Source organism: Homo sapiens, chromosome 12, assembly GCF_000001405.40.
Source record: "Homo sapiens chromosome 12, GRCh38.p14 Primary Assembly".
NCBI lineage: Eukaryota > Metazoa > Chordata > Mammalia > Primates > Hominidae > Homo > Homo sapiens.
Window position 1 is genome coordinate 12,812,964 of NC_000012.12, and position 18,691 is coordinate 12,831,654.

The 18,691-nt window shown below is 41.6% G+C and overlaps 1 protein-coding gene across 2 annotated transcripts, besides 2 other annotated features; it reads left to right on the forward strand.

Annotated features, from left to right (window-relative positions):
* Window positions 210-519: an enhancer, noted in NCBI's record as "active region_6031". NCBI's record gives its function as "activates an Ori minimal core promoter by ATAC-STARR-seq in GM12878 lymphoblastoid cells {active_cell/tissue: GM12878}" and the evidence as "EXISTENCE:reporter gene assay evidence [ECO:0000049][PMID:35858748]".
* Window positions 383-17,018, forward strand: DDX47 (DEAD-box helicase 47). 2 transcript variants are annotated; one of them, NM_016355.4, is made up of 12 exons: window positions 383-491; window positions 1,168-1,261; window positions 8,245-8,433; window positions 8,692-8,763; window positions 9,002-9,120; window positions 9,698-9,769; window positions 10,240-10,356; window positions 10,907-11,053; window positions 11,577-11,714; window positions 13,037-13,107; window positions 14,283-14,412; window positions 16,460-17,018. In NM_016355.4, exons 1-12 carry the CDS (start codon window positions 405-407, stop codon window positions 16,589-16,591), a joined length of 1,368 nt encoding a protein of 455 aa, NP_057439.2. In that variant the 5' UTR covers window positions 383-404; the 3' UTR covers window positions 16,592-17,018. The 2 variants fall into 2 exon arrangements, with proteins under 2 accessions (NP_057439.2, NP_957518.1); NM_201224.2 differs by lacking the exon at window positions 10,907-11,053.
* Window positions 9,932-11,131: an enhancer, noted in NCBI's record as "BRD4-independent group 4 enhancer chr12:12975829-12977028 (GRCh37/hg19 assembly coordinates)". NCBI's record gives its function as "activates an origin of replication core promoter dependent on BRD2, P300/CBP, MED14 and CDK7 cofactors, and independent of BRD4, by STARR-seq in HCT116 cells {active_cell/tissue: HCT116}" and the evidence as "EXISTENCE:reporter gene assay evidence [ECO:0000049][PMID:35650434]".
* Window positions 17,019-18,691: the final 1,673 nt, after the last annotated feature.

Consider the following 18,691-nt stretch of genomic DNA (forward strand, 5'->3'; position numbering starts at 1 on the left):
GCTGTCCTATTCACCAGCCATCTAGCATAGCCTTAGCAAATGGTAGGTTCTCAACATTATTGAATAAAGTAATGACATAATAAAAAAATAGTATTGTAATATCAATCCGTTCCAAACTCTATGGTTAGAAAAGCGGGGAACATAACTGGCGACACACGTAGGGAAGGCTCTTTAAAAGGGACCTAAAGGTCAACTGGAGTCCCTGGTGATCAGCCCCTTCTGCACTCGGATCTATTCCGCAAGCCTACGCGCCCATATTCACTGGGCCCCACCTGCCTAGCGGACGGGTGCAATCCCCGGCAAGCCCGCAGGGGGCGCGCAGAGCACGTCGTCCGGGGAGAACTAAAACTACATTTCCCAGCATCCCGCGCGCCGCAGACCCACTTCCGGAGACCTCACACAAGATGGCGGCACCCGAGGAACACGATTCTCCGACCGAAGCGTCCCAGCCGATTGTGGAAGAGGAGGAAACTAAAACATTTAAAGACCTGGTGAGAATGGATGACGCTGGCTTCTTTTATGTACTCTGGTGCTAGGCTCAGGGAGACCCCAGGTACCTTAGATCCCGCTCTGATAGTGTACAAAAGCATCTTGGGGCCTAGCTTGGGTTTTCCCCAGAATTTCAGAGGGCTGGGTTTCGGACGTGCTCTGAGTTTGGGTGGTGGGAGGGCTGCTGGGCCCTGAGACCCCCTATTTGCCCTATTCGCCACTTTAGTGTGGCAACGTTTGTATGTGCATCCAGGAGGTTGTACATATGGGGAATGGAATTGGTCTCTTTATAACTGGAGCTTTGGAGTCAGATGAACCAACCAGATTTGAATTTTGACACAGTCTCTTACTGAGGACAAGTTGTTACCTCTCTGTGTTTCTCTTTCCACATCTGTAAATTGGGGATAGTAATAAGTACTTACCTCGCAGAATTGTTGTGACGATTAAATGAGATGATACATGTAAAGCACCTGGCCTTGGCCTTGGTGAGCAGAAAGTGTTCGTTAAGTCTTGAGCTACTGTCTCATGGTATAGTTAAAGAGTAGGCTCTGAGATGCACAGTAAATACCTTTTAAATCAAATACAATGGTTGTACATGATGGGTCTGACAGTCAGTTAAGTAGGAGGGAGGTAGGGGTGTGCTGTTCTTGGCTAAGGTATATTTTTCTGAATTCCAAGGGTGTGACAGATGTGTTGTGTGAAGCTTGTGACCAGTTGGGATGGACAAAACCCACCAAGATCCAGATTGAAGCTATTCCTTTGGCCTTACAAGGTAGGTTGTATGACTTCGTACAGATTTAATATAAAGTTATCTCAATTAGATACCCCTTTTGAAAGCTGTTGCTTGCATACTTCAAGTGAAATAAGGATATGGTCACTAAAGGTACAAAGTTTGGGTAATGGTATTTGAAAATGTCATTCTCCAATTTTACTGAGCTTACTTTCTGTCTTAATAGCTGAAAGGGTTTGTTCTCTGCCACAGATGCTGACTTTAAGGAAGCCCTAGGTTAAAGTTAAAGTATATTAACGACAATCTTGGTAGACTTTATGCATCAGTGGGCGCACACTTAGGGAAGGATGCCTGGAACACATATGTGTGTCTTGAGGAGTTGAGAATTCTTGCTGTGAGCCATGTTTATCAGATTTGTAAAACAGTGGTTAAAGCAGATTGATGGCTACTGGAACTGAAACTAATGGGATGAACTTTTTTCTTTTTGAGATCTTTTTTTTAAGATGGAGTTTTTTTTGAGATAGAGTTTCGCTCTGTCGCCCAGGCTGGAGTGCAGTGGTGCGGTCTTGGCTCACTGCAACCTCTGCCTTCCAGGTTCAAGCAACTCTCCCGCCTCAGCCTCCCAAGTAATGGATTACAGGCGCATCACCATGTCCGGCTAATTTTGTATTTTTAGTAGAGATGGGGTTTCAGCATGTTGGCCAGGCTGGTCTCGAACTCCTGACCTCAAGTGATCTACCTGCCTTGGCCTCCCAAAGTGCTGGGATTACAGGTGTGAGCCACCACATCTGGCTGTAACAGGATGAACTTTAATAGGAGTAGAAGTAAAGTCCTGCTCTTAGATTCCTAAAGTACCAACTTTACAGGATTAGGGTGGGTGATAAAAGAGGCCCAGAGGTCTTAGTTAACTGAAATCTATTAAGATCCTCAGAGAGAGTGAATGTAATCATAGCAATTGTTATAAGAGGGGTAATGTGGCTAATTATTGTTAGTATTAATGTAGCTATTACTGTATTACTATATTATTAGTGATTAATGTAAGCTATAATTATTACTCATTAGTAATTAATGTAGTGATTATTATTGATAATAATTGAAAGATTTAATGATTTGAAGAGCTGTCATGTGGAAAAGGGGTTAGACTTACTCTACAAAATTCCATTTGCTCTTTCCATAAATAGTTACTATTTGTTGTAAATGTAAGGCACTGGAGGTTAACAGTCTGTCCTCTCCAAGAGTCTATAATCTATTAAAGAGATAATTATAAATTTATTACAAGTTGAACAGGGACCTAAGAAAGTTACATTCAGAGTGCACTGAGGGAGAAGAGATTACTTCTAATTAGGATGGATTAGAGAAGATTTATTTCATTTTATTTTTGGCTGGGGAGGTTGGGAAGACATGTGAGCTGAACCTTGAACACTGACTTTAGAAGGATTTAGACATTCAGATATGATGGGAGGGGAGGACTTTCTAGGCATAGGGAACAGCATGAAAAAAAGCCAACTGGAAAACATGGGCATGTATGGAGATTTGCAAGTACTTAGCAGAGTGGTGAAAAAGTTTAGTAAGGTGATTGGGGCCGGATTATGAAGGATTTGAGTGCTGGGTCAAGGAATTTGGTCTTCGTTTCATAGGCAGTGGGGCATTTTTGGAGATGAAGGATTTAGAGTTGTACTCTTGGAAGATTAATCTCATAGCTGTGAAAGATCATTAGAAACAAGAGACTGAGTCTGGGAAACCAATTAGTAGGTCTTTGTAATGATTTTTGCAATCAATAATGGGTAGGGTGGTGGTAGAATGAAAAAGAAAATGTTGGAAAAAGAATCATTATGATTTTACAACCAGTTAAGCAAGTGGAAGGCAAGGAAGGGGTGGGGAAAATCTAAGTTTCTAGGCTGTATGTTTAGGGCATATTATTGGTGTACCACTGATACAAAAAAGGAACGGGGGAAAAATGCAGGAAAGATGAGTTCAGTTGGAAGTAATTGATTTTGGATATCAATGAGATAGAGTTGACCTTGTGGGAGGGGAATGGGGAAATGTTGCTCAGGGTACGGTTTCAGTTAGCCAGGATGGATAAGTTCTGAAGATCTATTGAATAGCATGGTGACTACAGTGAATAATGTTTTGTGTATTTGAAAATTGCTAGGAGAGTGGATCTTAAATGGTCTCCCCACAAAAATGACAAGTATGTGAGGTGACAGATATGTTAATGAGCTTGATTTAATCACTTCACAAAGTATACATGTATCTAAACTTTGCATTGTATACCATAAGTATAATTTTTTGTCAATTAACAAAACTGGGGGACAATAAAAAAGGAAAAAAATACCCAGTTGGAATCCTGGGATTGGAACTTGATTGAGAGGCCAGAGCTGGATATACACACTGTATCCAAAGAGCGGTTATAGCTGAGATTGGAAATGGATTAGATTGGCAAAGATGACAGAGGAAAATTGGAAGATTCAATAGAGGGTTGAAAATCATGAGAGTATAGTTTCACACAAATTAGGGAAGGGAAACTGTTTCAAGGAGGGATTAGTAAACACTTCAAACTTGTGCAGAGAAGTTTGGAGGATAAGGACCGTATAAAGGCCAGTGGTGGGAAAGAACTATCAGCGGCCCAGTGTTACTTTTAAATAGCAAGAAGCGTTCATGCATTTTAACTTTTCCAGCTTGCCCTACAGTGTAGGTGAGAAGGAGTCAAAATAGCTGGCAGTAATCCTAAAATTATTCTGATGTTTTCAGCCATAAGTTTAAATTTGATGCAGAAAAGAATAGGGAGGGGTCAGTGGAAGATTACTAGGAACTGACAGAAATGATCACCATAGAAATGTCTTTATCCTTATTCTTGGGTTTGTCTCATTCTAATGAATAGTTTATAAATGCTTCATTTGAATCTATAGAAATGATTCAAATAATCTGTTTGTTTTTGTTGCTGTTGTTATTCGGTGAAAATAACTTCTAAATTTGAATTTGGGACTACTGACGTTTTCAGTTTCTGCAAAGTTACTGAGCCCAGATTGTCCGCTGTTCTTAAACCTTATAACAATGCTGAATGGTAGTTACGGATAATTATTTTATTAGTGAGGAAATTGAGACTCAGGGAGTTAAGTCCTTTGGCTAAGGTCACCTAACTAATTATTGCTAGAGCCTGAATTTGAACATAGAATCTTATAGCTCAAAAAACCTCTATTAATGGACCTGCATCAAAGTTTGTTACTATCAAGAGATCAAAAGTTGTTTGATGGGCATGGTGGTTCATGCTTGTAATCCGAGGACTTTGGGAGGCTGAGGTGGGAGGATTGCTTGAGACCAGGAGTTTGAGACCTGCCTGGGTAACACATTGAGACACCATCTATTTATGTCTGTTTCAGAGATCACTTAAAGTTGTCCTCAAGGAATTTCAAACAATTTATTAGTGGCTGCCATATAGCAAGCGCTTATGTTCGGTGCCAGCAATGTGGCAGGTCTATATGACAAAATCTATTCTGCTCTTATGGAGTTTATGCATTCTGGTATATTCTCTACAGGTATAAACACTGAAAAGGCTTAGCGGTTTCTTCAGAGATGAAGAAAGGAGATGACGTAGAAAAATATATCAGTTTCACAAACTGAGGGTTGCTGTGAGGGACTTACTAAAAAACTGAAAGCAGTGCAGGCCTCAGCTGTAGGCAGTGAGCAGTGCTTATTGCTTCATGAACTAAGCGACTTCAGCTCCTTTACTTCCCTAAATCTTTCTTATGTACTCCTTTCTTCTGAAATGTTAAGATTTCCCTTGACAAAAAAAGGACAAATCCTAGTTCCCCCGCCTGCTGTTCCCGAAGGTGTATTGTGTTACACAGGCTGGGACGGCAGTATCCCCAAGGAGTTGAGGAATAAAAAGCTTTGGGAATCATTTGCTTGCACTGACCTTTATTTCTCAGATAGGTAGATGCTGTTGCAATTCATTGTTACCTACCCTGCCACTGGGAACATTAAAATAAGTAGATGAGTGAGACATTTTATCCCTGGATTGTCATTTGTCTGTAATCTTTAAAAAAATCAGTCCATTGGCTGGGCGTGGTGGCTCACGCCTGTAATCCTAGCATTTTGGGAGGCCGAGGCGGGTGGATCACGAGGTCAGGAGATCGAGACCATCCCAGCTAACACGGTGAAACCCCGTCTCTACTAAAAATACAAAAAATTAGCAGGGCGTGGTGACGGGCACCTGTAGTCCCAGCTACTCGGGAGGCTGAGGCAGGGGAATGGCATGAACCCAGGAGGCGGAGCTTGCAGTGAGCCGAGATCTCGCCACTGCACCCCAGCCTGGGTGACAGAGCAAGACTCTGTCTAAAAAAAAAAAAAATCAGTCCCATTGTCTGGTTTGACTTGTATTTCACATCTGTGCATATGCTTTTGAATGGAAAACACTGATGTTAATGAAAAGAAGGCTAAAGAATAGAATTCACTAGGATACACTGTATGTTAGTCCTTTTTCACACTGCTGATACAGACACACCCGAGACTGGGAAGAAAAAGAGGTTTAATTGGACTTACAGTTCTGTGTGTGGCTGTGGAGGCCCCAGAATCATGGCAGGAGGCGAAAGGCACTTATTACGTGGTGGCGGCAAGAGAAAATGAGAGACATGCAAAAGCAGAAACCCCTGATAAAACCATCAGATCTCATGAGATTTATTCACTACCATGAGAACAGTATTGGGGAAACCACCTCCATGATTCAAATTATCTCCCACTGGGTCCTTCCCACAACATGTGGAAATTATGGGAGTACGACTCAAGATGAGATTGGGTGGGGACACAGCCAAACCATATCACACTGTTGTCTGATCTGGCATGGCAGATCCTGGTTTAACTGATTAATGTTTAAGAGGTGGATCTTACAGGTCTGTTCTACTTGATCAGTGACATTGAACGCCACTGATCACTCTTCTTTCTTGAAGCTGCCTTCCTCCTTAATTTCAAGACAGCATTTTCTTCTGTCTTTCTAGCTGTTCTTTCTCAGTCTCTTCTTCTGGTTCTTTTCCCTTTGCCTTACAATATTGATTCTGTCTTTACCCTTTTTTCTTACTCTGAAATACTACATAACATTTCTCATTCAGTCCTCAAGCTTAAACCCTGTCTGCATCAGTGAGTCTGTATTCTTCAGAATCATCTATGGAGCTTTTTTTTTTTTTTTAAATAGAGATTTCTAGGTCCCAGCCAAGACCTACTGAATCAGAATTTCCAGGCATGGGACCGGGCATATATATATATGTAAGTCTCATCGATTATTCTGAAGCATCTGCCCCTGAGGAAGTACCAGTGGTAGGATACTCATGGCTCCCATGTCTGTTCTAACCCCCACTTTTTTCCTGAGCTCCAAACAAGTATGTCCAGCTGGTTTTTAGACATACCTCCAAATAATTATGCCCAACTGGTTTTTAGACATATCTCTAAACAAGTATGTCCAACTGGTTTTTAGACATATCTCTTTGAGTTTACTATAGGAATCTTAAGTTCCAAGTTCCCTGTGTGGAAACCAAAGTCCTTATTTTCCTCACCAGGACTAATTTTTCTGTTGCCTATATTGCAGTTTTTGGCTTTTGAGTGTCCCGTACTAAAAATGTGTGAGTCACCCACATTTCCTTTTGTTAGTTTCTGAATCTCATTCCTGTGCTCATTCCTGGCCTCAGTTCAGGCCACCATCATATCTCCCCTGAATTACATCCAATGTCCCAGTTAAGCCTTTGTTTTCCCTGTTCTGGTCATTTAAGTCATTTCTGATTGTAAGTCATGTTCAGGTTATGTCAGGGAAAAGAGATTTGTTTATTGTAGGATTATCTTCTAGGTAAAGAAAACTTCTCAGCAGTTACACAGTCAGAACAGGGGCAGCAACTGTAGGGGTCATGATTTAATAGGGAGCATTCTCACTGGCCACTGTGGTAGTGCATAGCTACCTCATGGGCTACAGCCAGCTCGGAGATAGTGATCTCAACTCAGGAGTTAATTTCCAAGTCTTATGAGTTGTGGCTTGAGTGGTGATAGCAAACAGTGGTGACCTGTTCTTAAAGAATTACTTAGAGCATTCTTCCCTCAGAAGGAGCAGTAACTGGCATGCACTGTTAAGTTCCTTGGCTCCTCCTTATGCCATCAGGTCTAGAGTTTATCTTCCTAAACAGTAATATTGATCATGATATTCCCTGTTTAAAATCCTTTAATTCTTTCTTATAGGAAAACATCAAAACTCTAGCCTCATTCTTCCCTCTTTCTCCCTTAACACTTCTGTGTTCCAGCCACATTGTACTTCTCAGCCTAACTATGCATGCTATGTTCTTTTTATTTTTTGAGATGGAGTTTCGCTCTTGTTGCCCAGGCTGGAGTGCAGTGGCACGATCTCCGCTCACCGCTGCCGCAACCTCCGCCTCCCGGGTTCAAGCAATACTCCTGCCTCAGCCTTCCGAGTAGCTGGGATTACAGGCATGCACCACCATGCCCGCCTAATTTTGTATTTTTAGTAGAGACAGGGTTTTTCCTTGTTGGTCAGACTGGTCTCGAACTCCCAACCTCAGGTGATCTGCCTGGCTCGGCCTCCCAAACTGCTGGGGTTACAGGCGTGAGCTACCATGCCCAGCCAGCATGCTATGTTCTCTAAAGCCTTAATTCTCTTTCCTCTTACAGGAATATCCTTTCTTCCCTTCTTTGCTTACTTCCAGTTTTAACTCACTTATCACCTCTGTTAGCCTTTTCTGACTCTTCTGGGCAGTAGTTACTTTTCCTTGTGTTCTCGCTGTATTTTGCAGGGGCTTATATTAAAACTCTTATCACATTATAATGCATTTGTATATTTGTCTGTCTCACCACTGGGTTTTGAGCTTATCTAAGAGAGAGGCCATGTCTTTTCTGTTTATTCAACTTTCCTCTCTCCCCAGTTCATCAGATATTTATTAAGCGTCTACTTTGTGCCCAGCATTGTGTCATTGTAGAAAACACAGAAATAGCGCAAAGAGATTACTTGGCTGTTGAATTTCTTTTTCTTTTAGGTCGTGATATCATTGGGCTTGCAGAAACTGGCTCTGGAAAGACAGGCGCCTTTGCTTTGCCCATTCTAAACGCACTGCTGGAGACCCCGCAGCGTTTGTTTGCCCTAGTTCTTACCCCGACTCGGGAGCTGGCCTTTCAGATCTCAGAGCAGTTTGAAGCCCTGGGGTCCTCTATTGGAGTGCAGAGTGGTAAGTGTCTGAGAGGGAAGGGATCCTAGGTTGCCATCACAAGTGAAGAATGAGTGTGGAGGAAGGAGAATGGAGGAAAGTATTGCTAGCATAATTTATTGACCTAAAGAGCTAATGTTGTATTTGAGCTTTGGGAAGAGTATTAATTGTAAGGGAAGAACAAATCTAAGTAGAAATCTGGCATTGGCTTTAAAAGATGTTCAGTGGACTGTGGAAAAAATTAAGGATCTCGTCTCTATGTTCTTTTTTTCTCTGTAGCTGTGATTGTAGGTGGAATTGATTCAATGTCTCAATCTTTGGCCCTTGCAAAAAAACCACATATAATAATAGGTGAGTAACTGACAAAGGTAAAAGACACTGGCAGTGATGAATTGGAGAAAATCTACCAGTGTTGGATAGAAAGACTTTGAGAAACAGATTTTGTAACCCTGTTAAATTTTTTAATTTCTTAAGTTAAATTTGGTGGAGAGCTGTGGGGTGGGGCAGATAACTTTATTTGTTTATTTGTTTTGTTTTTTTTTTGTCCTGTTCTGAAATGTCACTGTTTCTCCTCAACCTTTCTTGGTAGCAACTCCTGGTCGACTGATTGACCACTTGGAAAATACGAAAGGTTTCAACTTGAGAGCTCTCAAATACTTGGTCATGGATGAAGCCGACCGAATACTGAATATGGATTTTGAGACAGAGGTGAGCTCTCAATTTCTTTCCTCCTCTTAGAGCATCTCAAGGTTCCTGTTTCAAAATTTGGTTCATTGCCCACTTGTTTCATGTAGAACATTGCATTAGTATCAGTTTCATTCTTGATATTCTTCAAATTGCAGTTTCTCAGCACCCTTTTATCTTTAGAATATAGTCTGACTCTGACTTCAGAAATGGGAAATATCAAAACCGGATTTTCTTTTCCCTTTCGTTTAATTTAGACCTTGACATACACCCTGAAATATCTTTATTTTCTTTGATGACCCACTAATCCCAGCTTACTTAGTTGATTAATACTTTTTCTTGACTTTTCTCTTAAATCAGCTCTGGTCTACTAATTTAAACTGTTCTTTTCTCAGAAAGGTATTTTTTTTAATAGTATTTGGTAGGGTATCAGATAGTAAATATTCAGTAAACTTTAGCTGAATCAAATTGAATTTTCGAGTCCCAAATCTTCACAGTGATATATTTAGTTTGTTAGTGTCTACCTCCTTCACTACCTAGAGGATTTGCAGCTCTTCCAGTCTGAATATCATATTGGCATCTTTTCCTCTTTGTGCTTTAGGTTGACAAGATCCTCAAAGTGATTCCTCGAGATCGGAAAACATTCCTCTTCTCTGCCACCATGACCAAGAAGGTGAAATTTGCTAGGACTTTTGTTTCTTCTTTATGAGAATTGATACATAAAGTAAATAGTAATAACAATAAGGAAAAATAAATTGCTTTAGTCCGTTTTCACACTGCTATAAAGAACTATCTGAGACTAGGTAATTTATACAGAAAAGAGGTTTAATTGACTCACAGTTCCACATGGCTGGGAAGACCTCAGGAAACTTACAATTATGGCAGAAGGTGAAGGGGAAGCAAGGCAGGAGGTGGGGGCAGTGCCACACTTTAAAACCATGAGAAATTGTGAGAACTCACTATCATGAGAACCGCAATGGGGAAAACCACCTCTGTGATCCAATAACCTCCCACCAGGTCCCTCCCGTGACATGTGGGGATTACAATTCAACATGAGATTTGGGTGAGGACACAGAGCCAAACCATGTCATAAATAAAGAGTGTTTAGGCATCAGTGTGCTATTCTGGATCTTCTTCCTTCAGGTTCAAAAACTTCAGCGAGCAGCTCTGAAGAATCCTGTGAAATGTGCCGTTTCCTCTAAATACCAGACAGTTGAAAAATTACAGCAATATTATATTTTTATTCCCTCTAAATTCAAGGTAAAATGTTTACTTTGATCATTCCTGCCTCTCCCTCTTCTTTTCACCAAAGCATCTGAAAATGTGTCAACTCTTGATTAGGTAAGAGCTGTAATGCAGATTGGCATCCTGTCTGTTTGCTTTAGAGTGCATATCGTGCTTATATTATCACCGATAAGCCAGACATGCCAGGAATTCACAACACATTAAATCACAATACTGAGGTCATGATGTAATCATATAATTCCTTCCCATCCCCATCCTTGAGGTAATTTTTCCTTTGTCTGCTTATTATGTGGCTTTTATTTAGGATGAAGCCCCTGGTTTTGTGCTTTGATATAAGGACTTCTCCTGTTTGCTGAGTACAGATCTCCTGCCTGCCTTAAGGCTAAGTGGGGAATATGTGGTTCACAGAGATGATAATGCTGGTTAAGGAATGCAAAGCTGGCAGCTGGAGGTCTGGATAATTGAAAAGCGACTATAGGCTTAGTCTTTACCTTATGTATATGCCAGGTCTCCAATCCTGTCTCCCAGGTTCAATGACATATATTGTTTTGGGTTTGTAACTTAGGATACCTACCTGGTTTATATTCTAAATGAATTGGCTGGAAACTCCTTTATGATATTCTGCAGCACCTGTAATAATACCCAGAGAACAGCTTTGCTACTGCGAAATCTTGGCTTCACTGCCATCCCCCTCCATGGACAAATGAGTCAGGTAAGGATTCATCATCATCATCAGCCATGCACTGGTGGCGTGAGCGAGATAAACCTCCTAACAGTAGGTTTGTACAATAAGGCCATAGGGCACCGATGCCTGTTTCCATAATTGTTGTAATTTTATGGGCTTTGAAGTGTTGCTCTAGATACTTACTTTCTCCTTTCAGGGTAGCGAGAGGCTCCCATTAGAATATTTCATATGTACCTGTCTGGTTTGCAAGCTGTTGAGTTGATTTATTCAGCCCTAGTGGTAATAATGACTCTGGCCTCTAAAAACATTAATAAATTATTTCCCAGTTACCTTTCTATCGTGTCAAACTACCCTTATTTTGTATCATATATATTTTTTTAATTTTTTGTTGCTTCCATATTTCTGTTTTGACCTGTGAAGCCCCATTCAAAACTTAGGGGGAAAAACCTTTAAAAAATTTATGTCTGTTTGTTCTCGTGTTTGTCTATTTTGTGTTTTGTATTCCAAAACATAGGTTAAGTTTTCCAACATTTCTTTTTCATTACCTCAGAGTAAGCGCCTAGGATCCCTTAATAAGTTTAAGGCCAAGGCCCGTTCCATTCTTCTAGCAACTGACGTTGCCAGCCGAGGTTTGGACATACCTCATGTAGATGTGGTTGTCAACTTTGACATTCCTACCCATTCCAAGGTGAGTCCTATTGCTAACTTACCTTTCTAGTCCTAAAGTGTATTTCTTAATGGACTGTCTTCTGTCTTTCCTTAGTTACAGCAGTTATTTTGTTCCTGGTTAATTAAGTATCAAAAAACAAGAAAGCCCTTGGTTAGTTCATTCACATCATCTTGCACAGGCCTGTGTATGTAACATTAGTACATATGAAAGAGGTAGCCAAGGAGAGTTATTAGATGCTCATAGAAGGGGCTGGTGCGCCACATACTGATCTTGTCACTGTCATTTCTTGAGAATGACAGCTTGTAGTTTTTTTGAGGCGGAGTCTCGCTCTGAGTTTTCTGAGGTGGAGTCTGCACCCAGTCTGGAGTGCAGTGGCGCAATCTTGGCTCACTGCATGCTCTGCCTCCTGGGTTCACGCCATTCTCCTGCCTCAGCCTCCCGAGTAGCTGGGACTACAGGCGCCCACCACCACGCCCGGCTAGTATTTTTAGTAGAGATGGGGTTTCACCGTGTTAGTCAGGACGGTCTTGATCTCCTGACCTCGTGATCTGCCCACCTCGGCCTCCCAAAGTGCTGGGATTACAGGCGTGAGCCACCGTGCCCGGCCTACAGCTTGTAGTGCTTAGTGTATCTCAAGGTTTCTCAGCCTTGGCACTATTAACATTTTAAGCTTTCGAATTCCTTGTTGTGGGGGTTGTTCTTTGAGTTGAAGGATTCCTAGTAGCATTCCTGGCCTTTACCCAGTAGATAACAGCATCACACAGTCTTCCACCTGTGATAATCAGAAATATTTCCAGACATTACCAGTGTCCCTTGAGGATGGCAGAATCACCCCTGGATGAGAACTGTTGTGTCTCTTGTCTTTGTATTTAACTGCTGTAGACAAGATGCTGTCTCATTTGATTTTCATAACAACTCTGTAATATGGGCATGTATTTCTATTCCTGTTCACTAGATAGAAACCAAGGTTCAGAGAGGTTATGTGATTTGCAGGTAATTGTGTAACTGGCAGATGGGAAGGATCAGAGCTGTAATCCAGCTCTGCCTCGAGATCCAGTGCTGTTTTTTAAAATACCATGCAGCCTGCGACCATGTAGATATGCTTTGTAGATTTATCTGTCTGTGAAAGAAGGGAAAGCATTGGATCAATTTTGTGCTGCAAGGAGAACAAAAAAGATGAAGTAGATTTGTCTCAACAAATTGCCCCGGCCATTTATTTTCTCCATGTTACGAAATGAATCTATTTTCTTTCAAAGGTTTTGCAGCAGGACTTTGCATATGTAGTTTTTTTTAAACTTATAATCCATATAACTTGAATTTATTTACCCTTTTTGTTTTAGGATTACATCCATCGAGTAGGTCGAACAGCTAGAGCTGGGCGCTCCGGAAAGGCTATTACTTTTGTCACACAGTAAGTAAATCAGCTTTAGGGCCGAGCAATGTAGAGAAAAGAGCAGAACTTTCAAGCCACTGGCTGAGAACCTGACACTACCATTTACTACACTAATCACTTTCATACTGAAAACCAGGATGAAGGAGTTGAAAGATGGGAATAATAATACCTATCTAGCAGGGTTTTGGTGAAAATTGGAGATTATATATGTAAAAGATCTAGTATAGTATTTGGCATGTAGAATGGTACCTAGAGCTGGAGAGCAATTGCCTTTGTGTCAACTCAGAAAGTATTAGAATAACTATTTCCAATTGTTTTTTTTAAAGAAACAAATTTTTATGTACCCAAGGCTGTTCTGTGAATAAATACCTTGAGGGATTTTCTCCCTCCCTCCTTTCCTTTTTTTTTTTGTATTTGTCTCGCTCTGTCGCCTAGGCTGGAGTGCAGTGGTGCAGTCTTGGCTAAGTGCACCTTCCACCCCCTGGGCTCAAGCAATCCTCCTACCTCACCATAGCTTCCCAAGTAGCTGGGACCACAGGTGCATGCCAGCACACCTGGCTTTTTAAAAAATATTTTTAGTAGAGATAGGGTTTTGTCATGTTGGCCAGGCTGGTCTTGAACTCCTGAGCTCAAGCGATCCACCTGCCTTAGCCTCTCATAGTGCTGGGATTACAGGCACAAGCCACCTGCCTGGCCGATTTTTGTTTCTTTTTCTTTTTTTAAGCAGCAAGGTTTCACTCTGTTGACCAGGCTGGAGTGCAGTGACTTGATCATAGCTCACTGCAGCTTCAAACTCCTGGGCTCAAGTAGTCCTCATACCTCAGTCTCCTGAATGGCTGGGATTACAGGCACATGCCACCACGGTTGGCTAATTTTTAATTTTTTATAGAGATGGCATCTCACTGTGTTGTCCAGGCTGGTCTGGAACTCCTGGTCTCAAGTGATTCTCCTGCTTTGACCTCCCAAAGCGTTGGGATTACAGGTGCAAGCCACCATGCCTGGCCTCCCTTGAGTGATTTTCTAATGGGCTATGCACAGAGATTGCACTTAACCCATATTTAGAAAAGAAATAATATGTTCAATATTGTTTAAACCTATGGTTCCTATTGCGTTGTATCATATAATAATAGTTTGGGAATGGACAGGCATTTGCGTTACCAGGCAACCAGAGCTGTGCAGTTTTCCTTCCTCAGGTATGATGTGGAACTCTTCCAGCGCATAGAACACTTAATTGGGAAGAAACTACCAGGTTTTCCAACACAGGATGATGAGGTTATGATGCTGACAGAACGCGTCGCTGAAGCCCAAAGGTTTGCCCGAATGGTATGCATCTTTCTTTTCTCACCAGTGTCTGTGCAAACAATGTTAACTGTGTGCCACTTTATTATATTAACCCTCATACTAAACTGCAGAAGCTGGGTATTATTTTATTCCAAATTTAAGACGAGCAAACTAAGGTGCAGAGATGGTAGGTAATTTGCATTAGACCATACAACCAAATGGTTGAATCAAGGTTTGGCCTCATTCTGACATTCACACATTCACAGCACCTGTTCATGTGTCGCACGTGGTGAGATAGTTCATCAGACTTGAGGTCAGAAGATCCAGCTGTGAACTGTGTGAGCTTGGGAAATTTGCCTGATTTCTCAGAATCAGAATCAGTTTCTCACCTGTAAATTGGGAATAACACTTGCCTGAATACCTTATGGGGTTTTATGAGCACCAGAGAAGCCAATATAAACTACATAGTTACTAGTAGGGGTTGATCATACCTAATCCAAAAATTTGAAATCCAAAACCAAGATCCAAAACTTTTCTTTTTTCTTTTTTTTTTTTTTTTTGAGATGGAGTTTTGCTCTTGTTGCCCAGGCTGGAGCGAATGGTGCAATCTCGGCTCACCACAACCTCCGCCTCCCGGGTTCAAGCGATTCTCCTGCCTCAGCCTCCCGATTACAGGCATGTGCCACCATGCCCAGCTAATTTTGTATTTTTAGTAGAGATGGGGTTTCTCCATTTTGGTCAGGCGAACTTCTGACCTCAGGTAATCCCCCCGCCTCGGCCTCCCAAAGTGCTGGGATTACAGGCTTGAGCCATTGTGCCCAGCAATCCAAAATTTTTTGAGTGCGAAAAGGATTGCCGCAAGTGGAAAATTCCATGCCTGACCTCGTGTGACAGGTTGCTATCAAGACACAGTCAAAATGTTTTTAATGCACAAAAATATTAAAAATATGATGTAAAATTACCTTCAGACAATTAAAAATATTGTGTAAAATTACCTTCATATATAAGGTATATATGAAACAAGTGAATTTTGTGTTTAGAGTTGAGCCCCATCCCCAAGATAGCTCATATGTATCTGCAAATATTCTAGAATTAGAAAAAATCTGAAGTCCGAAACACTGCTGGTCCCAAGCATTTCAGATAAGGGATACTCACCCTGTAAGTAGTAGTAACAGTAATAGTGGTGATGAGAAGATTCTAGAGGAAAACCATTGGAAGTGCTGCCTGCTTTCTGGAGTTCTGGTCTGAGGGATGGAGAAACTTTGCCCATAGTTTGTTTTTGGAGTAGCTGAGGTGCACATTTGGTTTTTATTCTGTCCACATGGGATTTTTTTGTTTGTAAAAGTATTACATGTGCATTGGGAAAAAAATTCAAAAAATACAGAAAGGATTAAAGTAGTAAGTGAAAAGGTAAACCATTCCCCACAGAAAACCATTGATAACATTTGGCTATTTTTCTTTCTTTAGCCATAATTAGACTTTATCTAATTATATAGGATTAACATTTTTCTGTTTCAACAAATACAGATTCATGTGATCGTTTCTTAATGGCTACAAAGAATTCCATCATGTGTATGAAATACTTACATTCATGGATGCTTACGCTTTTTTCCAGTTTCTTTCTACTTTGGTACAGTGTTAAACACCCTACTTTGTACAGCTTTGCATATTTACTTCCTTAGAATAAATTCCTAGAAGTACACTTGTTGGGCCAAGGGACATACACAGTTAAAATTTGAATTCATACAGAATGCCAAATTGTCCCCCGCCCCAAGAAAAGCTATAGCAGATTGCACTATAAATGAGAGTATATGTGAATTTTTCTACACCTTGGCCAATACTGGGGATTACCCTTCTCTTAAGTCTTTGCCAATCTGCCATGTGAAAATAAAACCTTACTTTAGTGTTCACGTTTTGATTACTAATAAGGTTAACATCTTTGTATATTTGGAGTTGGGTCTTGTTCCTTTGCTAATGTCAGGCATCAGCAAGTTACTTGATACTTGATCTTAAGGAGAGGGGACTAGAATGAGTAACCTTCAGTGCCAGTAATTCATTTTCAATCCCATCCTCTCTTTTTTTCTTGCAGGAGTTAAGGGAGCATGGAGAAAAGAAGAAACGCTCGCGAGAGGATGCTGGAGATAATGATGACACAGAGGGTGCTATTGGTGTCAGGAACAAGGTGGCTGGAGGAAAAATGAAGAAGCGGAAAGGCCGTTAATCACTTTTATGAAGGCTCGAGTTCTGCTGTTCTGTAAAAGAGAATTGGAGAATGAAACCTGCTCCAACAGAGATCATGAGACTGAAATTGGTCAGAATTGTGTCCAGAATGTGCTCAGCTAATTCAGTATTCTTCCCCATTCTGGGTTGGAGTTTACTGCAGAGTAATTCTTACAGTGCTGATGTCAAGACTGTTACTGTTCTTCGACTTTGATTCCTTGCTCATGACATGAGTAGGGTGTGCTCTTCTGTCACTTCACACAGACCTTTTGCCTTTTTTAGCTGCAAGTCAAGGACTAGGTTGATGATGCCCATGACCTGTAATTGTAAAGAAGCTTGGACATCTGCAAATGATATTTAAACCATCTTGGCTTGTGCTTTATTCAAACTAATGTGAAACAATAAATTTAAATATTATTTTTAAAAGATTCTAACTCCTTAAAGACCTTGGTGTTAAAGGGCCTTATAGATTTAAGTAAGATCTTGTTAATAGGTAAGAACCTGACAGTGTTGATTACATGGCAAATTCATTGGTTGTCCTAATTAAGATAAATATTTATTACTTAAAAAAATCAACAAGGAAACGAGATGATGGATGGCTTTGAAAGGGAAGCCCCAGCCGGGTGTGGTGGCTCACGCCTGTAATCCCAGCACTTTGGGAGGCCAAGATGGGCAGATCAGGAGGTCAGGAGATTGAGACCATCCTTGGTAACACCGTGAAACCCTGTCTCTACTAAAAATACACACACAAAAAAAACATTAGCCTGGCGTGGTGGCGGGCGCCTGTAGTCCCAGCTACTCGGGAGGCTGAGGCAGGGGAATGGTGTGAACCCGGGAGGCAGAGCTTGCAGTGAACCTAGATCGCGCCATTGCACACTCCAGCCTGGGCAACAGCGAGACTCTGTCTCAAAAAAAAAGAGAAGTTCTACTTAAAAAAGGAGGTTGTGTTTTTCTTGCAGATGGAGCAAAGTCTATCAGTAAGACAGCAGAGGTCTTTAAAATCCCTAAATAGATTTACTTCCTTCATTCCCTCAATTAAGCAGGTGGTTAGGAAGACTGGTTTCTCACATAGACTCTTTTTTTTTTTTTTTTGAGATAATCTTGCTCTGTCATCCAGGGTGGAGTGCGGTGGTATGACCTCAGCTCAGTGCAGCCTTGACCTTCCAGGCTCAAGTGATCTCCCACCTCAGCCTCCTGAGTAGCTGGGACTACAGGCACATGCCATCACGCCTGGCTAATTTTTATATTTTTTGTAGAGATGGGATCTTGGCTTGTTACCCAGACTGGCCTTGAACTCCTGAGCTCAAGAGATCCATCTGCCTCGGCCTCCCAAAGTGTTGGGATTACAGGTGTGAGCCACTGCACCCGGCCTCTTTTTTTTTTTTTTTTTTTTTTTTTTTGAGATGGAGTCTTGCTCTGTTGCCAGGCTGGAGTGCAGTGGCACAGTCTTGGCTCACTGCAACCTCTGACTCCCTGGTTCAAGCGATTCTCCTGCCTCAGCCTCCCGAGTAGCTGGGATTACAGGCACTCACCATCATGCCCAGCTAATTTTTGTATTTTTGTAGAGATGGGGTTTTGACATGTTACCCAGACTGGCCTTGAACTCCTGAGCTCAAGAGATCCATCCACCTCAGCCTCCCAAAGTGTTGGGATTACAGGTGTAAGCCACTGTACCTGGCCTCTTTTTTTTGAGACAGAGTCTTGCTCTGTTGCCAGGCTGGAGTGCAGTGGTGCGACCTCAGCTCGCTGCAACCTCCAACTCCCTGGTTCAAACGATTCTCCTGCCTCAACCTCCCAAGTAGCTGGGATTACAGGCACGCACCACCATGCCCAGCTAATTTTTGTATTTTTAGTAGAGACAGGGTTTCATCATGTTGGCCAGGATGGTCTTGAACTCCCAAGCTCAGGTGATCCACCTGTCTCGGCCTCCCAAAGTGCTGGGATTACAGGTGTACGCTGCTGCACCCGGCCACTCTGCCTCTTATGTAGATTCTTTTCCCCAGGTGACAAGAATAAAATCAATATGCCTCAGAAATGTATAATTCTGAGACCTAATTTCATCCACTTGTCATTAGTGCCCACTGGCCACTCATCTTTTTTG

What these genes read in the sequence shown, in the direction of transcription:
- DDX47 (NM_016355.4), top strand. Translation starts at nt 405, where the DNA reads ATGGCGGCACCCGAGGAACACGATTCTCCGACCGAAGCGTCCCAGCCG. An exon ending in CTAAAACATTTAAAGACCTG is followed by an intron (nt 492 to 1,167) that starts GTGAGAATGGAT and finishes CTGAATTCCAAG; the next exon opens with GGTGTGACAGATGTGTTGTG. An exon ending in CTGCCACCATGACCAAGAAG is followed by an intron (nt 9,770 to 10,239) that starts GTGAAATTTGCT and finishes TTCTTCCTTCAG; the next exon opens with GTTCAAAAACTTCAGCGAGC.